General features: G+C 55.6%; 1 protein-coding gene across 5 annotated transcripts in view, besides 4 other annotated features; it reads left to right on the forward strand.

Moving 5' to 3' along the window:
• The first annotated feature begins 820 nt into the window (after positions 1 to 820).
• The window catches only part of DAGLA (diacylglycerol lipase alpha), a 66,611-nt gene continuing 53,172 nt past the window's right edge, over positions 821 to 14,259 (forward strand). For 2 of the 5 annotated variants that reach the window (NM_006133.3, XM_047427544.1), the window contains exon 1: positions 821 to 934. The gene's annotated coding sequence lies outside the window, so the exon portion shown is untranslated. Of the gene's footprint in view, positions 935 to 1,241; positions 1,263 to 2,932; positions 3,031 to 4,970; positions 5,026 to 14,259 lie in introns of those variants that run through there. The other 3 variants (XM_047427543.1, XM_047427541.1, XM_047427542.1) reach the window with 3 other exon arrangements.
• Positions 3,018 to 3,692: an enhancer, noted in NCBI's record as "H3K4me1 hESC enhancer chr11:61450060-61450734 (GRCh37/hg19 assembly coordinates)". NCBI's record gives its function as "activates a minimal SCP1, AML or CMV promoter by ChIP-STARR-seq in naive H9 embryonic stem cells {active_cell/tissue: H9 hESC(naive)}" and the evidence as "EXISTENCE:reporter gene assay evidence [ECO:0000049][PMID:30033119]".
• Positions 3,693 to 4,366: an enhancer, noted in NCBI's record as "H3K4me1 hESC enhancer chr11:61450735-61451408 (GRCh37/hg19 assembly coordinates)". NCBI's record gives its function as "activates a minimal SCP1, AML or CMV promoter by ChIP-STARR-seq in naive H9 embryonic stem cells {active_cell/tissue: H9 hESC(naive)}" and the evidence as "EXISTENCE:reporter gene assay evidence [ECO:0000049][PMID:30033119]".
• Positions 10,739 to 11,270: an enhancer, noted in NCBI's record as "H3K27ac-H3K4me1 hESC enhancer chr11:61457781-61458312 (GRCh37/hg19 assembly coordinates)". NCBI's record gives its function as "activates a minimal SCP1, AML or CMV promoter by ChIP-STARR-seq in naive H9 embryonic stem cells {active_cell/tissue: H9 hESC(naive)}" and the evidence as "EXISTENCE:reporter gene assay evidence [ECO:0000049][PMID:30033119]".
• Positions 11,271 to 11,802: an enhancer, noted in NCBI's record as "H3K4me1 hESC enhancer chr11:61458313-61458844 (GRCh37/hg19 assembly coordinates)". NCBI's record gives its function as "activates a minimal SCP1, AML or CMV promoter by ChIP-STARR-seq in naive H9 embryonic stem cells {active_cell/tissue: H9 hESC(naive)}" and the evidence as "EXISTENCE:reporter gene assay evidence [ECO:0000049][PMID:30033119]".

The raw sequence follows: 14,259 nt of genomic DNA on the forward strand, positions 1-14,259 counted from the left end.
CTGCTCCTCTCTGTGCTCCACTCCCCCAGTTCAGCACAGTGCTCCCAGGGAGGTGTAAGCGACTTACGGTGAATGAAAGGGCGTGAAGGGGAACAGGAGGGGCGGTTTTCTTCATTTACCAGAAATTCAAAATTGACCAAGTAAACCCCTTTGGAGACCAGGCACGATGCTGGGCACTGGGAACGGGGGTAGGGGTGGGGGGTGGGGGGGTGGTAGGGAGGAGGGGGTACCCAGGGTACCCACGGGCTCTGTCGCCCGTGGGGAAGGATGGGCATTTACCCTTCCCATTCATCAGGATGGGAGGGCCACGGACTCCCCCCACGGCAGTGCCGGGTAGACCCCTGCACCACACCGTGCCAAGGCCCTTTCTCACAGTCACGCCAGGAACTCTAGCCATGCTCTGACTTCTCAAGCAGAGTTCAGTCACCCCGAGGAGGTGGGACCCGTCTCTCTCCTCCCCACAAATGAACCAGTTCTCCAGTGATCCTACTTCCTTTTTTCCCTCTCCCACGCTAAAACTGGTCACGAGGGACCTAAAGGAGGGGCAGGCACCCAGGCGGCTCCCTTCCCCGCACGCATCGCGGCCAGTCCAGCCCCTCCCGGCCGCCCACGGGACCCCAGCCGAGCCTGAGCCAGGCGCCCACCGCCCCCACGCGCAGGGCCGGCGCCCGCGGAAGACTCGGCTCTCCCTGGCCTCGACGCCGCTCCCCTCCCTGGCGCCAGGGGGCGCTGCCTCCCCACGACCGTCGCCATGGTCACCGCTGGCGGCGGAGAGGGGTTTACGTAAAGGACGCAGCGTCCCCCGGGGGGCGGAGGCGGCCTTCGCGCCGGCGCCGGCGCCCTGCGGAAGCGGCGTTAGTGAATCGGGGCCTTGGGGAGCCCAGGATGGAGGTGGCGGTCGCGGCGGCGGGCCGAGCCCTGCGGCGGGCGGGAGGTAAGGGGGGCCTCCGGCGCGGCGGGCCGGTCCTGGGCGCGGGCGCGGTGCGAGCGGCGCGGCGGGCTGGGCAGTGTCCAGGGCGCGCGGTGGCCGGCCCGACGGGTCGGCGGGCGGAGTTGCAGCTGCCACGCGCGCCCGTGGCAGGTGTGAGGTCTGTGGAGCCCCTGGCACCAGCGTGGGGATGGTGACACGCGTGGCACGGGCGTGGGCAACGTGGGTCCGGCACAGGCGGCGTGGTTTTCCTGGAACGGGTCTCAGAAGACTCGCCTCCACCTTGGTGCGGTGGTGGCCACGCAGGTGTGAGGTGGTGCAGCTGTCTGCACAGGTAGGTGATGGGCACGGCCTTCGGACTGGTTATGGGATAGGTGGCCAGCTCGTGCCGGCATGGTGGTGCCGCTAGCATGGGTGTGAGGAAGTGCTGCCATTGCTTGGGTGTTGGGATGGTTCTGGCCTTGGGCTTGACATGATCTGGGGTGATAGCACTGGGGGCTTGAAGAATTGGTGTTCTCAGCATGGCTAGAGTTCCTGGCATGACTGTGAGAAAGGGCCTTGGCACGGTGTGGTGCGGGGGGCTACCCGGCACTGCCGCGGGGGGAGTCCGTGGCCCTCCCATCCTGATGAATGGGAAGGGTAAATGCCCATCCTTCCTCACGGGCGATGAAGGGGACACTGCCTCTGTCATGGGGGTCCAGTTTTAATGCCTGTTGGGTACACTGGACTGAGGAGGGCAGAAGGCTGGGAGAAGGTTGGTGTCCTTTATAATGGGCATAAACAAGAGATGCCAGGAGAAGCTTCTACCACAAGGGCCCTGATGGTAACCCAGATAGAGACCTTCCAGGCACTACCGTTGTCCTGGGCTAAGGTAGAGAGAACCATTCATCTAGCTTTTCATCTAGCTTTGGGAATGAAGGGAGGGGTGGATGATTTTCAGTGGTGATCGGTGTCCCAGAATATGTCCTGAGAAGCAAGCAGGACCAAGAGGTAACCCGGGTCAGCGAGTGAGGGAGTGGTATGGCGCACCATCTATCTGTAGTCACGGGGTCCTGCCTTCTCCCTGGGTTGATGGGTTCACTCCAGGGTATCTGGGAGTTGCCTCTCTTCTTTGATGCTGGGGAGCCTTTGGGTCCAGAGGATTGGATCGATTGGGGTATGCTTGAAAGATGATTCTGCAGCCACTGGGAATCTGCTGGGGCCACCGGGACTCCCACCCCCAGGCTTAAATTCCTTTCCAAGGGCTCTGTCTGTCCTCTCTGCTTAGCTCCTATGTTAAAACCCCTCCATCTGCGCTGAGATTGTGTTTGCTCTCACCAGTCCTTTGGGAAGCTTTGGGTGAAGGTCTCACTCAGCATCACCTAGTGCCTTACTTTACAGAGAAGCAATTTGCAGCTCCTCCTAGAGAAGTCTTACAGTGTAGGGGAAATCTTCAGTTCTTTGTGGATCTCTTGGGGGAGTGGGATCAGTGGTAGAAGAATCACAGGGTTGAGCTTGTGCTGGGGAAGGCACTTATGAGTCCAAAAAGATGATGTTGAGGGTAGGGTGGCAGGTGGTCGCCAAATTGCCAAGGTGGGTGCTTGGAGATGCTGATGAGTTCCCTATAACCGGAGCACTGTCCGATGCCTTTGGAGCCATATCACTTTAATTCCAGTGTTGGCTGTGTGACCTTCAGCAGGTGACTTCACCAATCAAGGCATGTCACATGGTGGTCTGGTAGTAAAGAATGAAAGGAAATGGTGCACGTGGAAACACTTTGCAAACAGCGAAAGACTGTACAAAGGTCAGAGAGTCTCATCAAGTAAAGAGACCAGGGCTGGAGGCAGGAGCCATAGGAAATGGTGGCACGGGATGTGATTGGGAGGAAGGGAGCCGGAAGGTTGAGGGCCTGTCATAGGGAATTAGAGGCCCTGAGCGCACATGCTCCCGGTGGGGGCAAGTGGGATCTGTTGACACTGTGAGTCAGCTGCTGAGCTGGAACCAGGCCCCCGGTCTCCAGAGGACAGTCCTGAGCATGGCCCCGGCAGCTGTGAAGTCCTGCAGGAGTGGCCCAAGCAGGAGGAAGCACTTTGCTTGGGCAGCAGACGTGCCTCATTGCCAGGGTAGGTCTGGGAGGTGTCTGTGGCTGACAGATCTAGGGTACCTGTGTGGGAGGAAGACTTGGGAAGTGTGTGTGTTTTCTCTGGAGAATTTCCTTTGGCTCTGGGTTCTGAGAACGGGGGTGGGGAGCAGTCACATCAGCGTCTTTTGGGCTGTGGCCTGAAGGAAATGAAGTGGGTCAGAGCATCCACAGATCGATGTGGCTCAGGTCTGGATGGTTCTGCGGGAGGTTGAGGCTGGATGGCAGGGGGACGGGGGGGGGAGGTGTGGAGGATGCCCTCAGACACATAGGGGAAAGGAAAGGGGGCTACAGGCACCTCTGAGGGCAGACAGGTGTGGCACCTCTCCCAATGTGGCCCCACTTCTGGCTGAAGTGCCTTCCCAGGTGGGGAGGATGAGGGTGGCTGCACAGTGCTTTGCTCTCTGCCACCAGGAGCCTAATTCCCGACAACAAGCTGCAGAGCCTGAGTTGCAGACCCTGCCCCATGGCGCTGGAAGTCCTGTTTTTCTCTCACCCAGGCCGTTTCTTCAGCATTCCATGCGGGTGTCTGCCTTAGCCAGCAACCTGTTTCACATCCTTGCTCCCCGAGGAAAGTTTTTGCCCTGTGCCCAGGCTGCAGTGTCAAGCCATGTGGGTGGAAGGAGGACACGGCCCTCCCAGACCCAGGGTTGTGAGCTGACTTTTCCATGCTATGGACTCGCCCTGTCCCCGTAGCTGCCACGCAGACACTGTCCAGCATTGCAGGTGCTTCCCTGGTCATTCCCATGTTGGTCTGAGGGGTATCCATGGCCTGTCTCACCCGCTCCCTGCAGTGCTTCATACCTCCCCCGAGGAGTTGCTGGGCACTTCAGCTCATGTCTGGAAAGCTCTCTTAAGTGCAGAGTCCATTAAGGAGGAAGCCTACAGCCTCCCTGTTGTGAATATTCAGTATTCAAGTCTCCTCAGCTCACCCTCCACACCTCCTCCTGTTTGTTCTGATTTGTGGCTCAGCCTTATGGTTTGGGGCTCCAGGAGCCCTTTTCAGCCACCCTTTGCCTTCTGCTTGGGATGCTGGGACTGCCCACCAGAGCTGAGTGGCAGGCAGGGCAGATCTGAAGACACTGAGAGGAGGAGTTGGCCTCTGTTCCCCAAAAGGAGAGCTGAGCTTTCTTCCCAGTCCTGGGGTTTTGGGGTAGCAGGGAGCCCAGCCAGGTTAGCACCCTTGTCATTGTGCACAGATGCTGATTTCGAGTAAGTTCCAGCTGAGGCAGGGGGCCAGTCACTTAGGAGTGGACCTCGAGGGCAAGCAGCTCCCTGGAGCTACAATATTTCAACTCTGGTCCCCAGTCATATTCCCATTTTCCTTGTCCATGTTTCTCTAAAAGTTGCTTTCCTCAGCTCCTGGCAATTCCTCAGCTGCCCCATAAATCACAGTGCCTGGCTGCTGTGCTTTAGGGGTGCCGGGGAGCCAGGCATCTGTGGCCAGAGGATGCTGGACCAGAGCTGACAGCAGCGGGCCAGAAGGCTGCAGCTGAAGGCACAGCTTGTCACTGGAAGCCACTCCTCCCCCAGTCCCTCTCCTCGAGACCAGAGGGGAACCTCAGTGTTTAATCACCTGTTGGCCCATCACTCTGTGATTTCAATTTCTCACCGGAATAGCTTTACATTACACTCCAGTGGACTGGGCAAGTAGCGCTGGGGGAAATATCAATGAGCATGTGGTCAGAGGAAGATAAATCTTTTAGAACCGCGGAGCCCAGGACATTGCAGGATGCGGTTACCTCCCCAGCGGATAGGGCTGAAAATGGTTTATTTTGATTTTCTTTTTTTGTTTCTGATACTGACTTGGGCTGGGCGTGGTCTTTCTGGGTTGGATGGGAAGCGTGAGTGTGGGTGTGGACGTGGGTTGTGTGTGTGGGCAGGAAAGACCCAGGAAACTGCCTTATCTGTGAGGACCTCTTTGCTGCTGAGGAAGGAGTCCAGGGAGATGCCGTGGAGGGGATTGGTGTGACCACGGGTAAGGGTGTTTTCATGGGGTGTTTGGCAGGAACGCCTAAGTCCTCTAGATGGGGATGGGGCTGTTATTACCGCGGGGCTGCCCGGGGAGTGCACGTGTGTAAAGTTGCTTGTGCCCATAAGTGTTTCTGTGGGAAGTGAGGGCGGAGGGGGTGTGGAGCGCCTGGTGGTGTGGGAGCGCGCAGGCTCCCGTGTCTGGCTGGCCTGGTGTTGGTGGGTGTGCGGAGCTGGGGGTTGCCGGGCTCTTCACAGCAGGAGGGAACAGTGGGAGTCGGAGGAGGCTGCCTTCAGGCTGTGGGAGGGCAGAGGGTGGGTTTCATACCTCATGTTATGACTCTTTACATGAGGAGCCGAGTGCTTTCTCAGTATTCCTTAGAAGGAAGCTGGGCTGCAGGCGGGGCTCTCACACACCCTTCTGTGTGCTACCTGGGGGCGTCTCACACGCCTGCTTCCATGCTCCTCCTTGAACCACCTGGAAGTCAGCTGGGGACAGTCCCCTCCCCCCCATGACAGAAGATAGCATTGTAGCCCATGGGTAGTTATGACTTCAGACTCTGGAACCTCACGGACCCAGATTGGATGCTGGCACACCTCAGTTTCCTAATCTGTAAGATGGGGACAGTAAAACCTCCGAGAGCCGAATGGCAAGAATTCTCCCAGGTAATGCCTGGTGCGTAGAGAGATCCTGATGAAAACACGCACTGAAAAAATGTTTTTGCTCTTGCGGCCGGAATCCTTTCCATAGAGAAGTGGTTATGTCGTGATCTGCATATATTAGCAGTAGGGAAGATGTAATGGGTCTCATTACTTGATAAGAAGTTAGCTCCCCACATCCTTGGGATAGACAGAATCTTGCATATCTGTTAGCAGTGTCATCAGCAAGAGTATATCTTAGCCTTGAGGAATGTTTCCACTTGGACATAGTCGATAGTTATTTCTTGAGCGCCTGCTGTGAGTTGGGGGTTAGTGAGGGCATGCAGATGAGGTGGTCATACCAGAGCCTATAAGGTGTAGATTCTGACCTCAAGTTGCTTAAAATCTGTTGAGAAGATATAGTTAATTTCTAGAAATGAGTGATGCCAGAGGTCAAAGGAGGGAGAGTGACTCGAGCCAGGGAGGTTGGGGAGACTCGGGTGGCCACGGCCTTTTTATGTGGGCCATGGGTACCGGTGGGAGTGAACAAAGGAAGGTGCTTGTAGAGGAACTGGCAGCAACGGGGGCGGGTTGGCGGGGTGACTGGTGGCTGGGAGGGGAAACTGCTGCCCGTCTGTTGTGTGCTGTAGGGCGCATACAACAGAAGTGGTGAAAGCTAAGATTGGAAAAATGAGCTGGAGCTGGGTCCCCAGGAGCCATGATGGCAGGGCTGAAGGTTTGGTTTCCAATCTGTGAACGCATGGGCATTCACTGAAGTGTTCTGAGCAAGGGTTTGGAGGCTGGTGCCACCCACCAGGAAGAGTGGTATGGCAGCAGGGTACTGAGGGACAAGAGTAGGGGGTGCCCAGGTACAGAGGGCTTGAACCAGGGCAGTGGCCACTCTGCAGGGGAAAGGGGAGAGACAAAGCCTGGTTGATTATGGAAGGGAGACAGAAATCATGAGATTGGTCAGTGTGGTCACTAGGAGGGGAAGGGGTGGGAAGTGGGGCCAGGAAGCTGAGCTGGGCCTCGGAATCGCTGCCTAGAATGTGTTGCCCACACTTGACTTTCAGCGGGTCTGACTCCCGTCAGTGCTGGGCGGGAGTGTGAACGGCAGGCTTTCAGGGCTGCCCTCGAGGCCGTTCCCATCCCTGAGGACCCACTGAGGGGGTTCCAGTGTTCACAGCACTTATTTCCAGGCATTTGATCATTTTCTCACCAAATTACCCCTTGAAATTTCGCCTGCCTGAGTTCAGCCCAGGAGGTTACTATTCTGGGAAGTTTCATCAAAACCTTTTCAGTGTTTGGGAGTTCTCTGAGCCTGGAGGAGGATGGAGGAGAACAGGGCTTGCCCTCACCTGTGTTTGGGGGCTGCTCCTGCAAACCAGTCCTACACCTGGAGACGGTCCTGGCCAGGGAGCCTGCGGCTCTGGGGTGGAGGTCGGGACGGTGGCCCTCCGCTGTGTAAGGTGAGACAGGATGCTGCCTCGAATTCATCCTGAATGGGCCCCTCGTCATTGTCTCTCCTGGAGCCATTTAATTAATTGATGATTGATGTTCCTGGACTTCCTTGAGGTTAATCTATTATTGATGTCCCTTCGTTTATATAACATATGCTGCACCTCCCAGCCCCTGGCTGCTCCTGATGGGCAGGCCACACCGTGGAGTGGGCTCCCTGGGGCTGCACCTCTGTCTCCTGGGGACAGGGCCCTGCACTTAGCTTTCTCAAAGCCTTTCAGGTTTGGGGTCAGGGAGGGCACCAGGGCGTGTCTTTAGGAGGCTTTGCTCAGCCACAAAATAATACTAGTAACAATAACTTCCATTTTCTGAATGTGGATGAACTGAACCCAGGAGAGTGTATAGAGGATGTCATTTACTCCTTGCAACAGCAACCCCCTGCACGCTCCCATCCCTCCAACCTCCATCTTACGGGCGGCTTAGGGAGCTTGCATCACCTGCTCAGGGACACTCAGAGAGGCAGGGAGCCAGGGTTTGAACCCAGGATGGGTTCTTTTTGGTGTCCCTGTCCATACGCCACCTCTCCCTCAGGTCCCACACAATCCCACCTCCTCCATGAGGCCATTCTCCATGCTCCACTGACTCTAGCACTCTTTTTTTTTTTTGAGACGGAGTCTCGCTCTGTCACTCAGGCTGGAGTGCAGTGGTGTGATCTCAGCTCACTGCAACCTCCGCCTCCTGGTTCAAGTGATTCTCATGCCTCAGCCTCCCTAGTAGCTAGGATTACAGGCACGTGCCACCACGTCCGGCTGATTTTTGTTTTAGTACAGATGGGGTTTCACCATGTTGGCCAGGCTGGTCTTGAACTCCTGACCTCAGGTGATCCACCCGCCTCGCTCGGCCTCCCAAAGTGTTGGGCTTACAGGCATGAGCCACCGCGCCTGGCCAAACAAAGGCATCTTGTAGCACTCTCTTATCTGAATAGCGCTGGCGCCCCTCAGAGAGAGCATGTGTGTTCCCCTCACTGATCTGTGTCCTCACTGAAGCATAACAATCATGGCGAAATAACATTTAGGGAGCACAGGTGCCAGGCACCAAGCTCAGTACTTTTTGTATCTTCTCTCATTTAATCCTCATGACCATAACAAGGAGCATGGGACTGCTGGGCCTGGAGTGTTCCTGGCTCTGCTGGGCAGCTGTGAACAAGTCACTTTTCTTTTGTTAGCCTCAGTTGCCCTGTCTGTATAATAGCAGCAATGATATTTGTCCTGTCTCCCTCACTGTTCAAAGGTGACACTGGATGGGAAAGGCCTTTGGGAAAGACATTGTACTAACAAAGGATTAGGGATGGCTGGGTGCGGTGGCTCACACCTGTAATCCCAGCACTTTGGGAGACCGAGGCGGGCGGGTCACGAGGTCAGGAGATCGAGACCATCCTGGCTAACATGGTGAAACCCCGTCTCACTAAAAATATAAAAAATTAGCCGGGCATGGTGGTGGGTGCCTGTAGTCCCAGCTACTTGGGAGGCTGAGGCAGGAGAATGGCGTGAATCCGGGAGGCGGAGCTTGCAGTGAGCCGAGGTCGTGCCACTGCACTCCAGCCTGGGTGACAGAGCAAAACTCTGTCTCAAAAAAAAAAAAAAAAAAAGGATTAGGATTGCTCGTACATGAGATTCAAGAGCTGGCATGAAGGCTGGGAATACTTAAGGCTGGGCACATAAACCCAAGCCAAGGCATCTGCACCCACCCTCTAAGCCACCCCAGCCCGGCAGATGAATTCTGCAGCTTGCCAGCTGCCAAGAACTTGCTTGAGGAACCTGTGTGGCCAGGAGTGGGGCGGGAGATCCTTAGAGTGGCTGCCAGGCCCTGGTCTGTTGTCCTGGCTGGATGAGCAGTGCCTGGGTCCTTGGAGGCGGTCCCTCCCACTCTGGGCGCCTGGATTTTGTGGAAGTGCAGGGGGCCCGTGGGGGGTTCTGGGCCCTGCTTCCTCTCCCATCTCCCACATGCAGCCTAACTAGGTCAGTTCAGGCTGGGTGTGGGGAGGAAGGAGGATAGCTCGCCAGGCAGCCACCCAGACCTCCCCTCACCCCTCAACACATGCGGAAAGCCTTGTGAGGAGGTGAGCCCTGTGTCTGTTCCGGAAAGCGACGGGGCCACCAGCCTCACAGTGGCAAGGCTCCCGGGGCACTGGCTGGGAATCCTCTGCTTTCTCATCAGCTTTACTCGGAGCGCATTTCAGTGCTGGGCTGGGGCTGGGGAAGATGACACGTGCTGCCAGGGCCTGAAGAAAAGGGCAGAGCCCTTGGACTTGTGGGTGGGGGCAAGGCATGCCTGCCATCGCTCATTGGAAATTGTGGCCAGGCTACTGTTAGGGGATGTTTTGTTTCACTTCCCAAGTTTCCGCCTTCTGCGGGCCGGGATTACATCAGGCTCCCCTGGCACGCCCTTTAGCCAACTCCCACTTCATCCAAGCTCCTCCACTGCCCTGGGACAGCTGCCCCGCTGCAGTTTTGGGGCAGGCTGCAGAATCACTGCGCAGCCCTAGGCCCAGTGGCTAAGGGGACTGTCCTGGCCTTTTCAGCCTCATCTGCAGAGGCTGGGAACTCCCAGTGCCCTGCCTCCCAGTTAGCACCTGCCCACTTCACCCACTCGAGTCTGCCTGGTCTCCAAGATTATCCACTTCTGATTCATTCTCTCTCCCTCTTTAAATTCAGCATAGCACAGGCCTTCAGACATGGGCTTTAGCATAAAGACAGAGCTTTATATGAGACCACTACTACTTGTGCAAGTCACTTGACCTGTTTGAGCCTCAGTTTCCTCATCTTTTTTTTTTTTTTGAGATGGAGTCTTGCTCTGTTGCCCAGGCTGGAGTGCAGTGGTGTGATCTGGGCTCACTGCAAGCTCTACCTCCTGGGTTCACGCCATTCTCCTGCCTCAGACTCCCAAGTAGCTGGGACTACAGGTGCCTGCCACCACGCCCGGCTAATTTTTTGTATTTTTAGTAGAGACAGGGTTTCACCGTGTTAGCCAGGATGGTCTCGATCTCCTGACCTCGTGATCCATCCACCTCGGCCTCCCAAAGTGCTGGGTTTACAGGAGTGAGCCACTGTGCCTGGCCTCTTTTGGTACTGCTTCTATCCACTGCCTTTTCTTTGTCTAACTTTTCCTCTCTGAGGCCTTTAGGGGAAGCCAGTTTCTTCCTCAGATTCTCTGAGTCTCCCCGCACAAAGCCCCTCAGCCCTTTCAGCTGCCCTCCTAAGAGTTGGGGGATCATGACTTGGCCTCACAGAATTCCATGCCATCCTCTCTGGTCTGGGCAGCCTCTCCAGGGCAATGGGAGTGCAGCCCACCGGGTCTGCAGAGCCCCAGCTGAGGCCTGAGCTTCCAGGCACCGCAAACTCTCCTGGGCTGCAGGGCCAGAGTCAGCCCCAGTGCACCCCCAGGGCCAGAACACCAGCCGTATCCAAGTCTCTTTCCCCCTAGGAACTTAAGGAATTTTTCTTAAGGGTTGTTTCAGTTTCATACCTTTGAAAAGAACTTGCTTCTCCTTTGACACCTTCGCTGGGACTGGGGCCAGACCGTGGAGCAGATAATAGTTTTGCCACGTGTAGTCTCCCATCTCCCCATTTATTCAAGGACATTTATTGAGCACCTACTTGCCAAGCCTTGTGCCTGGAGCTGGGAATAATGGTATCACTTCGTCCTGAGGGAGTTCCTGGGTTGGCATAAGCGGACACTACCACTCTACCAGCAGCCACAATGGCAAAAGCTATGTGGTGAGTCCTCTCTGCTACACAGTGCTTTATGTGTAGGGACACATTTAATGCAATGAACAGTGATGGCTTCCATTTTCTAGACACTCACCCCTCTAGGCTCTGTGCTCAGGACAGTCCCATGGCACCCATGGAGGAAGCACTCGTTTCACAGCAGGGGTCCAAGTCTAGGACCTCAGCTTCCTTGGGGAATTGAGGGAATCTGTTAGAGGCTGCGTGTTTGTAGCTGGGACTCAGGTTCCGTCTGTCTGGCCCCTGCTCTCAGGGTGTGCACATTCCCCTCACCTGGCATGGGGTTTGGGGATTCTGTGAGCCACGGGAGGAACAGCCGCCCACAAAAGGAAGGCCCCCTTTGGCTATCCTCTTGCTGCGAAGGCCAGGCCCCGCTCCCAGGAAGCCCTCGCCGCTCCCCACATGTAGACCCATCTGTGGCTTGCACCACCTTGTTACTCCCACTGTTGTCCAACCGACCTTCACCGACCCTGTACCTCGCCGGCCGTGGCAGGCGGCTTTCAGGCTCGCACAGCATGGCTCCTCTCACCCCACACGCCCCTGCCAGTGCCACTCCAGATTGTTCTCTTTGCTGCCTGCTACACCATGCAGTTTAGAACACAGCCTAATGGAGGGCTCGGGGCACCTGAGCAGCTGCCTGCTCCATTTCTTCGCCCCTTTAATCCCTCCCTTCCCCAGGTGAACCCTATTCAGCAGGCTTCCGGCAGCAATAACAAAGCTGGGCACCCAGCCCACCAGCTGCTCAGTGCTTTATAAAAGTTTAACCTTAATGGTGTAATGAACTCCCATCATAAAGCAGCTGGAGCAGTGCATCCTGGGATGTATAAATTATAGGAACCCTCTGAAATTGTAATTGGAAATGGCAACAACAAGAAGGTTGAAAGTGGCTGGCCTCATTGGGCTGAGCACAGCTATTCTCTGTCTCCTTTCAAAAGGCACACAAAACTGAGTCTGGCTGTGAAGAAAGAATATCCTCAGCCCAAATCGAGCTCCTGGTTCTTCCGCCCGAGTTCCCACTTCCTGCCTCCAACTGTGTCTGCAGAGCCTGCAGCCTTTGGAGGTGGGACCCCCCCCAACCCAACCTGGCCCTGTGCTCTGGCTCTGTGCCCGCAGACAGAGTGGGCTGAGAGGGAACAAACACAGCCACAGGGGCAGGCTCCACCATGCTCCAGGGAGCGCTTTGGAGCAGTTGATTTGACCTCCTCGAGTCTCCATAAAGTGGAGTGAACCCACCTTGGAGTGCTGGTGGTGATTGAATGGGAAACCGCAGGGGGTGTTGGGATGTAGGGTTGAGAACTCAGGCCAGACGGTCTGGCTGCCTGTTGCAGCTCCTGCTGGGGGTAGTCTTGAGTCCTTAACCAGGTCCTTTCACCTCTCAGCTGCAGTTTCCACCTGTAAAATCAGGGAATAATTGGCCTCTGAGGAGTGTTAGGAGGTGACATGAGATGATGCTGGCTTGTGACAGACTCAGCATCGTGCTTCTTTGATGGGCACACAGATCACTGGGGAGCTTGCCAACGCAGATTCCAGTTTAGGCTGGCTGGGCCCAGATGTGCATTTCTAACAACTCCCAATAATGCTGCTGCTGCAGGCCCTGGAGCACACCTCACCTTGAGTCTGGAGGGCAGTGTTTGACCCATAGTCAGTGCATTAGAGCCTGCTGTGATCGTACGTCCAGGCAGAACCCAGGGCCTGCACAGGTGCCCACGTGGCCCATGAGCCGGCAGCTTCAGCATCACCTGGGACCAGGTTAGAAATGCAGCATCTCAGCATCCCTTCACCACCACCCTCCTCCACATCAGAATCGCTGGGAGGGGAGCCTGCAGCCAGCTCTGGAAGTTCTGCTTATGCACACTTGAGCAGTCCTGGCCAGGACTCATCCTTCAGAGCAGGATTTCTGAGTGTAGATTGGTTAACTCCAGCCTCAGAGTCTCCTGGGGTTGGCCATGGTAGAACTTGGAACCTAAAAATATAGGTTCCTGAGCCCTGCCTTGGGCTTACTGATTCAGAATTGCTGGGCGGGGCCTGGGAGTCTGCATAAGTTTGAGAGTTACTGGCGACCACTCATTGCCTGAGAGATGGGAAGAAGGGCAGAATCCCCGCTCCCCACTCCCACCCTTTATGCATAAACCTTTGCATCTGCCAGGGGGAGAAGGAACACCAGGCTGGGGTCAGGAGTTCCGGGTTCCTGCAGGATCCTGTCACCAAAGCCCAGGACCCCAGAGCCACTCTGCCTGGGGCCCAGCTGTGGGGTTTTCTCACACCGAGAAGAGGGAAACAACCCAACATCCCCGAGTAGAGAGTTGGTTGAATGAACTTCCGTACATCTTGTATGTGGACTACTCCACAATAATGAGGAAAGATGGCGGTAGGAAAATGTTTAAGGAGAAGTGCTCACCTTTTAGTTCAGTAAAAAAAAAAATGGTAGATGCCGAATGGTCCCACAATTAGATGGAGGAAAAAAAAGACTAGAAGGATGTTAATAGTTGATAGTTTTCCTAGAGGGATCATGGGTGATTTATATTTTCTTCTTTTTGGTTTCTATTTTTTTTTTTTTTGGTGAGATTGAGTCTCACTCTGTTGCCCAGGCTGGAGTGCAGTGGTGCGGTCTGCCTTCTCAGTTCAAGCCATTCTCCTGCCTTAGCCTCGCAAATATCTGGGACTGTAGGTGCCCGCCACCACATCTGGCTAATTTTTGTATTTTTAGTACAGACGGGGTTTCACCATGTTGGCCAGGCTGGTCTCGAACTCCTGGACCTCAGGTGATCCAGCCTCCCAAAGTACTGGGATTACAGATATGAGCCACTGCACCCAGCTAGTTTCTATTTTCTATAGAGAACTTGTATTTTTGTAATAAAAAGATAAGTCTTTTTCTTTTTCTTTCTTTTTTTTTTTTGACATGGAGTCTTACTCTGTTGTCCAGGCCAGAGTGCAGTGGTGCAATCTTGGCTTACTGCAATCTCTGCCTCCTGGGTTTAAGCGATTCTCCTGCCTCAGCCTCCAGAGTAGCTGGGACTACAGGCGCCCACCACCATGCCCAGCTAATTTTTGTATTTTTAGTGGAGACCGGGTTTCACCATATTGGCCAGGCTGGTCTCGATCTCCTGATCTTGTGGTCCGCCTCCCTCGGCCTCCCAAAGTGCTGGGATTACAGGCATGAGCCACCATGCCCGGCCAAAGATAAGTCTTTTTCTTATGCATAAGTCAGCGTGTCTGGTCTGGGGTCCCCGGTCACAGTGCACCTGCCCTGCCTGAGGTGAGGCTCCTGCAGCCAGGGGCAGCCCAGACTCCCCCACTGGGGTGACTTTCACCATCGCCTCCCTCACCTCCAGGGTATGGCTGATGATCCCCAGGGCTTC

This window comes from Homo sapiens, chromosome 11, assembly GCF_000001405.40.
Source record: "Homo sapiens chromosome 11, GRCh38.p14 Primary Assembly".
Classification (NCBI taxonomy): domain Eukaryota; kingdom Metazoa; phylum Chordata; class Mammalia; order Primates; family Hominidae; genus Homo; species Homo sapiens.